Here is a 10,016-nt window from a genome sequence, read left to right on the forward strand (position 1 = left end):
AGGACAGGGGAGCAGAGGGATCCCACACACATATAGCTGCTTATTAGTGCAGATGGGCTGGAGGGGATGCAGTGCTCCTGTGGAAAAGGCTCAGAGCCTCACTGCCCTCAATCCCCTAGATATTATCTCATTTGAAACTAAATCTTTAAGGTTCCTTAGAGGGGTAACAAATGCTACTACCTTCAGGGCACATGCAAAAACCCATGATGGCTGGTGAGAGGATAAAAGGAAAAACAAAAGAAAGTAACACTTTGATGCTGGTGGAGAAGTCAAAAACAAAATCAAAAACAGTGTCTTAAACCCTATATCAATGCCATTCGAGGTTACTTACCACCAAGTGATGTACCAGCAAATCTCTCTACAGGAGATTTTTCTACAAATACAAAGAAGACCTTGGCTGCCATGGAGAGAAGAGACAGGAAGGCTGAGAGAGCCTTACCCTCAATGCTCAGACACACAGGGCCTGACTGAGACTGAGGCTGGACCAAAGTCACCACCACCACTCTGGCAAAGTACTGAATAAGAAGAACAATAGTTACTATGGGAAAGAGGAAAGAGCTTGGAGATCCACATTCTCTGTGTACATGTAGACAGGGACAAGTGGAACACAGCCACTAAGAAAAGCCCCCTGGGCCGGGTGCAGTGGCTCAGGGCTATAATCCCAGCACTTTGGGAAGCTGAAAAGGGCAGATTGCATGAGGCCAGAAGTTTGAGACCAGCCTGGGCAACATGGGGAAACCTTGTCTCTAGAAAAAATACAAAATGAACCAGGCATGGTGGTGCACGCTAGCGGTCCCAGCTACTCCTACTCGCGAGACTGATGTGGGAGAATTTCTTGAGCCCAGGAGGTGGAGGTTGCAGTGAGCCAAGATAGCGCCATTGCACTGAAGCCTGGTCAACAGAATGAGCCGTGCCTTAAAACAATAATAATAATAATAATAATAAACAAAAACCCCTCTTGTACCATAGCACCCTCCCTAAGCACAAGGCAACAGGTGATTAACACTGGAGGATTGTTGTTGTTGTTGTTGGGGGTGGGTAACAGCTTTATTCAGCTGGTAACAGTTCACACAACATATAATTCACCAATTTAAAGTTCACCATCCAATGGTTGTAATCCATTCACAGAACTGCATTAACCATCATCACAACCAATTTTAGAATCTTTTTACCTACCCCCACCAAAAACCTGTGTACCATTTAGATATTACCTCCAATCCTCTTACTTCTCTTTGCCTCTCCCACCCATCTCTTGACAATCATTAATTTATTTTCTGTCTCTACAGATTTGCACATACTGGACATTTCATATAAATAGAATTATACAGTATGTGGCCTTTTATTGATTTATTTCACTTAGCATATGGTTTTTGAGGTTCATACATATTGCAGCATGTATAAATATTACATTACCATTTAGAGCCAAATAATATACACATTTTGCTTGTTTATTCATTTGTTAGTGGACATGAGAGTTGTTTCCACTGTTAGGCTATTATGAATAAGATGCTATGAATATTCATGTAAAACCCTTTGTGTGGACATATGTTTTCTTTTGTTGGGGGGTATACTTAGAATTGAAATTGCTAGATCAAATGGTAACTTGATGATTCACTTTTTGAAGAACTACCACATAATTTTCCAAAGTGGCTACATTATTGTTATTCTCACCACCAGTGTATGAGCATTCAGATTTACCCACAACCTTGACAACACTTGGTTATCTGTATTTTTTATTACAGCCATCATAGTGGATGAGAAATGGCTATTCATTGTGTTTTTCATTTGCATTTCTCTAATGACTAATGATATTGACATCGTTTCATACATTTATTGTCCAGTTGTATATCTTTAATGGGAAAATGTCTATATAGATACTATCCCCGTTTTAAATTGGTCTGTCTTTTCATTATTGAGTTGTAAGAGTATTTTATATATTATTTATACAAGACCCACGTTAGATATATAATTTGCATATGCCTTCTCCCATTCTATGAGTCATTTTTTCATTTTACTAATGGTATCCTCTGAGGCTCAGTTTTTATTATGATGAAGACCAATGTATATATTTTTTCTTTTGGTGATTGTGCTTTTGATATCATATCTATGAAACCAATGTCCAACGTCATGTTATATCCAAGATGATGTTTATGAACTATCCAATGTCATGAAGATTTTTTTGTATATTTTCTTCTGTATGTTATAGTTTTAGCTCTTAGATTTAGCTCTTTGATTCATTTAAGTTAATTCTTGTGTGTGGTGTGAGGAACAGCTCCAATGCCCCTTGCCCTTTTTTTAGCATTTGAATGTCCAGCTTTCCCAGCTCCATTTTTTGAAAAAGTTTTCTCCTCATTAACTTATTTACCACCATTTTTTAAAAAATCAATTGACCATAAATGGATAGTTTTATTTCTGAGCTATTTTATTCCCTCAATCATAGTTTATAGTTTACTCATATACCAGTATCACACTGTCTAGAGCTAAATGATAGCACAGTCTAAAGCTACATGATATCTTTCTAGTAAGTTATAAAATATAGAAGTTTGAGTCCTGAAAATTTGTTTTTTGTTTTTTGATTTTCTTTTCAAAATTGTCTTGGCTATTCTGAGTCCTTTCATTTCCTACAGGTTTTAGGATCAACCTGTCAATTTCTACAAAGAAGCCATCTGGAATTCTTTTTTTTTTTTTATTGAGACAGAGTTTCTCTCTTGTTGCCCAGGCTGGGGTGCGATGGCGCGATCTCTACTCACCGCTACCTCTGCCTCCCAGGTTCAAGAGATTTTCCTGCCTCAGCCTCCTGAGTAGCTGGGATTACAGGCATGTGCCACCACACTTGGCTAATTTTGTATTTTTAGTAGAGATGGGGTTTCTCCATGTTGGTCAGGCTGGTCTCGAACTCCCGACCTCAGGTGATCCAGCCACCTTGGCCTCCCAAAGTGCTGGGATTACAGGCATGAGTCACCGCGCTAATTGCCATCTGGAATTCTAAAAGATATTGTGTTAAATCTCTAGATCACTTTGGGGATTCCTGTTGTCTTAACAATACTGTCTCCCCATCCAAGAGCATGTAATTTATTTAGTTATTTAGATATTATTTCATTTCTTTCAACAAAGTTTTGTACTTCAAAGTATATGTTTTACACTAATTTTGTAAAATTTATTCCTGAATATTTTTATTCTTTTTATGCTATTATAAATATAATTATTTCACTCATTTTATTTTCATTATGTTCATTGCATGTGTATAGATACAGAACTGGATTTTGTATATTAATCTTGTGTCTTGCAACATTTCTGAGCTCGTTTATTAGTTCTAAAAGATTTGTGGTGGATTTCTTAGAATATTCTATATACAAGACATGCTGTCTGTAAATAGAGATAGCTTTGTATTTCTTTCCAATCTGAATGTCTTTTATTGGTGTTTATTATGTGTTGCCCTGTGTAAAATCTCCATTACAATGTTAAACATATGTGATGAGAATAGACATCTTTGTCTTGTTTCTGATGTTGGGGTAAAACATTTAGTCTTTTATCATTGACTATAAGGCTAGCTGTGAGTTTTTCACAGATGCCTTTTATCAGGTTAAGGAATAGTGTGTTGAGTGTTTTTATAATAAAAGGCCACTGAATTTTAGCAAATGCTTCTCTGAATTATTGAGATTAGAATGTGGGTTTTGTTTTTTATTCTATTGCTATGGTATATTACATTTATCAATTTTCAAATATTAAATCAACCTTGCATTTCTTGGATAAATCTCAGTCATTGTGTATAATTTTTATATGTTGCTTGATTCGATTTGCTACTACATTGTTGAGAGTCTTTGCATCTACGTCCGTAAAAGGTATTGGTCTGTACTTTTCGTTCACATCTTGACCCGGTTTTAGTATCAGGGAATGGATTAAAAGTATCCTTCCTTTTCTATTTTTTGTTAACAGTTAGTGAAGAAATTCTGTTAATTCTTCTTTAAATGATTGATACAATTCTAGAAAATTTTTCAGCCATTTGATGGACTAAAGATAGTCATAACATACACAAACCCAAATTCAGAAGCTTAACTCGTGAGTATTTTTACAATGACATAGAGGTTTGCCTATTACCAGGTGTAAATATTATTGAACTGAATCTCTACTGTTCTCTACTGTTTAACCAAAACTACAAGCTGAAAAAAAAAAAACCCACAAAAATACAACCCGTTGTCAAGAGAAAAAGCAAACAAAAGAACCATATCCAGAGATAACCGGAGATTGCAACTGTCAGACAGTGACTTCCAAAAAAACTATAAAAAATATGTAAAGGATAATTCTTTTTTTTTTTTTTTTTTTTTTGAGACAGAGTCTTGCTCTGTCGCCCAGGCTGGAGGGCAGTGGCATGATCTTGGCTCACTGCAAGCTCCGCCTTCTGGGTTCACGCATTCTCCTGCCTCAGCCACCCGAGTAGCTGGGACTACAGGTGACCGCCACCACGCCCGGCTAATTTTTTGTATTTTTAGTAGAGACGGGGTTTCACCATGTTAGCCAGGATGGTCTCAATCTCCTGACCTCTGATCCGCCCGCCTCGGCCTCTCAAAGTGCTGGGATTACGGTGTGAGCCACCGCGCCTGGCCTAGGATAATTCTTAATAACATGAAACATACTAAGTAGAGGGTGAATTTCAGATGAGAGAGGAAAATTGTGAGAAAGTGTAAGATGAAAATGCTGTAAATCAAAAAGAAAAAGAATAGTGGTAAAAGAGATAATGAATGCCATTGATGAACACAGTCAAGTGAATTATAATTGGATTTGAAAATGGGCCAATATAAATTTTCGAAACTAAAACACAAAAAGAATAATTATTTGAGTTTGAGAGCCAGGACAGAGTCTCTAAGAACAGTTAATTAATGACAAAAATTCTAATATCTATGTAATTGGAGACCTCAAAAGTAATGTTGAAGAAGTAATGTTTTAAAATACAAGAGCCAAGCATTTTTTTTTAAATTAATGATAGTTACTAAAACTCAGGCCCAAGAAGATAGGAAAACTCCAAACACATGAATACATTTTTAAAGAAGAAAACAAAACACGTAGAATTATTTTATTAAACTACTGAAACTTAAGTGTTTTTGAAAGCTAAATATTTTTTAAAAGATGTAATACATACAGAAGAAGAAAGGCAAGAATTGTAGTATACTTCTCACCAGAAACTGTGAAAACCAGGAAACGTTGAATTGACATTCTTAAAGTATTACTTAAAAAAATTAACTCTCAATCAATAATTAAATACCCTGTAAAAATATTTTTAAAAGGCTTTTTTACAAACACGTGATGAGAGAATGCATGACCAGAAGACATACGACATAAGAAATAATAGTTGAAGTACTTCAACCAGTAGAATATCATATCAGACAGACATGTTGATCTACAAAAAACAGTTTTCCAAAAACGGCAATATCAGAGATAAATATATAATACTTAAATTGTTTTTAAAATTGTCTTAAATATTATGGATTTAAAAAGGTAATAATAATGCATGTTGGGAGTTACGATATACATAAAAATAAAATGTGTGATAATATCACATTCAATTTAAGAGGAAAATTGGAAGTATATTGTTGTAATGTTCTTACACATCATGTGAAATATTATATTATTTGAAGGTAGGATATGTGCAAAGTTAGAGGGTCTCCAAGATCACCTTCAGGTTCAATAATTTGCTAGAACTCACAGAATTTACAAAAACAATTATATTCCAGTTACAGTTTATTAGAGTAAAAGAATACTGATTCATAGCAGCTAATGAAAGAGGCATACCAGGGACGGTCCAGGACTCAACAAGCATGAGATACCAGTTGTCTTTTCCTTATGTAGTTGCGCAGACAGTGCCTATTTCTCCCAGCAGTGATGTGTGGCAATATATACAGTATTGCCAACTGAAGGAGTTCATCCAAACACTCAATGTCTAGTGTTTTTATAGGGGGTTGATTTCAGAGATATGGCTGATCAACCATGTAGCTGATCTTAGTTTCCAGTTTCTCCAGAGGTTAAACTGATAACTGTCTGGCCCAAGGCCCCCACCATAGATCACATGGTTAGAACAGGCTATCTAGAATGAACCAAGGACCTCATGTAAATAAAGACATTCTTATTAAGCAGAACGTTCCAAGGATTTAGAGGTAACCTTCCAGAAGCCAGGGGGAAAGGGCAAAACCTTTATTTGGGCAAGATTAATCTTTTCTGCACAATGTAATAAATTGAAGAAGTATAATGCAAATGCTAGAATAACACTAAAAACATTTTTGAAGGACTATTAATAAGGTAAGGGTAGAAAGTCAAATTATAAAATACATACAAGCCAAAATCAGACAAAAAAATTAAAATGGAAGAATGAACACATGGAACAAATAGAGAACAACTAGCAAGATGGTAGATTTAAATCCAACCTCATCAATGATTGTTTTAAGCATAAATGGTCTAAATTCCACAACAAAAAGAAAGAGATTATCATGTTAGTTAAGAAAAGAAGACCTAACTATATACTGTTCACAAGAAATCTGCTTTAAATAGAAAAACATGTGTGTTAGTCTGCTTTCTGTTGCTTATAACAGAATACCTGAACCTGGATAATTTATACAGAAAAACAATTTATTTCTCACAGTTGTGGAGGCTGAGCAGCTCAAGGTCAAGGGGCCACATCTGGTGAGAGCCTTCTTGCTGATGAGGACTCTCTGCAGAGTCCTGAGGCAGCACATGGCATTACATGGTGAGGGGCTAAGTGTGTTAGGACATTAGCTCAGGTCATTCTTCCTCTTATAAAGTAACTAGTTCCCTTCCCATAATAGCTCTTTAAACCATTAATCCATTAAGCCATAAATGTATTCATCCATTCATGAAGGCAGAGCCCTCATGATTCAATCACCTCCTAAAGGCCCCACGTCTCAATACTGCCACACTGGGAATTAAATTTCAATATGAGTTTTAGAGGGAACAAATACTCAAGCCATAGAAACATGGATAGGTTAAAATTTAATGGATGGCTATGTATACATATATACTAGGCAAACACTACTCGAAAGCTAGAGAGTCTATATGAAATGCAGTCAAAGTAGACTTTAGAACAAGGAACATTTACTGGGATAAGTGGGTTAATTCACTAGGAATATCTAAGAATATTCTTAATATTATAATGGTCAAGTGTCAGTTGATAAATCGGGTCAATTCACCATGAATACCTAATAATTCTAAGTGTGTATTCATCAATATCAAGCTTTTCTAAATAGACACAGCAAAGATAAATAGAACTGAAAGGATAAATAGAAAAATCCACAGATATATTTGGAAATTTTGGCATTCCTCTCTGGAGTCAATAGAACAAAAAAAAATCAGTTTAGTAAACAGAAGAGTTGAACAACATAATTAACAAGCTTGACCTAATGTACATGAATGAAAAACTCCACCAAACAATACAATTTATATTGCTTTCAAGCACCAATTGAATATTCATCAGAGACGTCATAATTAATAGTGGAAAACTAAATATTGTTATCTCTAAGATTGTGAAAAGATAAGGATATTCACATATACCAATCCTATTCAACATCAGTGGATGGCCTAACCAGTGAAATGAGAAAAAATAAATAAAAATTATGCAGTTCAAAAAAAAAGAGAAATAAAACTGCTTCTATTCACAGAAGGCATAAATCTTTATATAGAAAATAGTTAAATACACTTTCTTTTCTTTGAGACAGGGTCTTGCCCTGTTGCCTGAGCTGGAGTACAGTGGTACAATCATGGCTCATTGCTGCCTCAAACTCCTGGGCTCAAGCAATTCTCTGTCTCAGACCCCTGAGCAGCTGAGACTACAGGCATGCACCACCACATCTGGCTAATTGTTTTAATTTTTTGTAAAGATGGGTTCTCACTATTTTGCCCAGGCTAAAAAACTATTTAAAAAAAAAAAAAAAAAAACTTCTACAACTAGTAAATGAGTTTAGCAGGGCTTCTGGACATAAGGTCACCACACAAAAATTATTTTTATTTTTATAAACTAATAATAAATGACAAAAAATAAATATTAATAAGAATTCTATCATAACACCAAAAGCACTAAATCTAAATCTTACAAAACATGGGCATAATTTGTATTCTGAAAGCTACATAACTTTAATAAGACAAATCCCTAGGATGGCCAGTCAAAAGATGTAATTGGCTATGAGGGGGAAAAATGGTATCCAGCATGAGACTTCACTGAAGAAATATTGAAAGCTAGAATATGGTAAAACAAGGTAAAACATACAGAAACATTGGTAGAAAAAGAAGTGTTTCATTCTCTCTATCATGCCAGATGAATTGGGAAAAAAATAAAATGAAGAAGATATAAAGCCCAAAATAACATAAATAATAAGTTGGATATAGTGGATACTAATTGAATTCTGTCATGAAAACAGAGAATATTCATAAAACCTTCACAAAATTGACCATATATTAGGCTATAAAGAAAACTGTGATACAAGATTGAGAATAGAGGAAAAACTATCTATATTATCTGAGTACATTGCAATAAAATTAGGTATTCCTAAGAGAGCCAGAAAACAGGAAACCCTATCAGTTCTTCCTTTAAAAATTTTTGTGTTAAAGAGGAAAATAAAGAGGACATTTTAGAACATCCAAAAATAACATTACACATTAGATCATATAGGATATGACTCAAATAGTTCTTTAAAAAAATCATGGTCTTAAATTTAAAATCACAAATATTAGTTGTCAAAATTGGGAGGGAAAAATTGGTAGAATTAATAAATCAACCCAGGAGTCATTTTGGGGATTGGGAGACAGATAAAACAATCTCAAAGACATTGTGTATAAAAAGCCAATTTCTGGAGGTTATGTATTATATGATTTCATTTATATAGCATTACACAAAATGTGGTATATACATTCAACAGAATATTATTTAGATATAAAAAGGAATAATGTTCTGATAAATGCTACAACATGGAGGAACCTTGAAAACATTATGCTAAGTGAAATAAACCAGCAAAAAAAAGGATACATATTGTATGTTTCCACTTCTATGAGGACCCGGAATTGGAAAATTCACAGAGACAGAGAAAGATCAGAGATTGCTATGGGCTGGGGGAACAAAAAAATGGGGGAGTCACTGCCTAATGAGTAGTTTCTGTTTGGGTGATAAAAAAGTTTTGGAAATTAATAGTGATGGTGGAGGCACAACATTGTGAATATAATTCATGCCACTGAATTGTACACTTAAAAACAGTTAAAACAACAAAGTTTATGAGATCTATGTTACAATGATCTTGTAGTATCAAAAACCATTGAATTGTACACCTTAAATAGATGAACCGTGTGGTAGGTAAATTACATCTTAATAAAGCTGTCAAAAAATCAAAATGCTAAAATTTTATAGATGGGAACAGTTTAATGATATCCAAGGGATACTAATGGGGAGGGTGACTATAAAAAAAAGTAGAACAAGAGAGTCCTGTGCTAGAACAATTCTGTGTCTTGACTGTGATAATGACTTATGGAATAAAATTGTCCTGAGCAACACACACACACACACACACACACACACTAGTGCATATAAAACTATGAAAATCTGAATAATCTTTAGCTCAGCTACTATATTGAAATAATGTCAGTTTTCTGGTTTTCATACTTTACTACAGTTATTTTTTGTAATGTTACCATTGGAGAAAGCTGGGTGAAAAATACACAGGACTGTACTATTTTTGCTATTTCCTGTGAGTCTGTAATTATTGGAGAAGGTTTTAGAAATGATAAGGTATTCTTTACTGAAAGCAGCAAAAAATAAAGAAATTAAAATATACAAAATAAGCAGTGATATAACAGAAATATAAACATAGATTCAGAAAAATCTCAAATTTGAGAGTGGTTTTTCTCAACCTTAAGGAAGTGATTCTTTTGGAAGAGATTGGTCATTGGATCTGGGGTATAACTGACTCACCTTTCAAATCTGCATTTTCTCTCCACCAGAAGCTGGTAGCTTCTTGTACAACACC

The sequence above is a fragment of the Homo sapiens genome, chromosome 8, assembly GCF_000001405.40.
Source record: "Homo sapiens chromosome 8, GRCh38.p14 Primary Assembly".
NCBI classification, from domain to species: domain Eukaryota; kingdom Metazoa; phylum Chordata; class Mammalia; order Primates; family Hominidae; genus Homo; species Homo sapiens.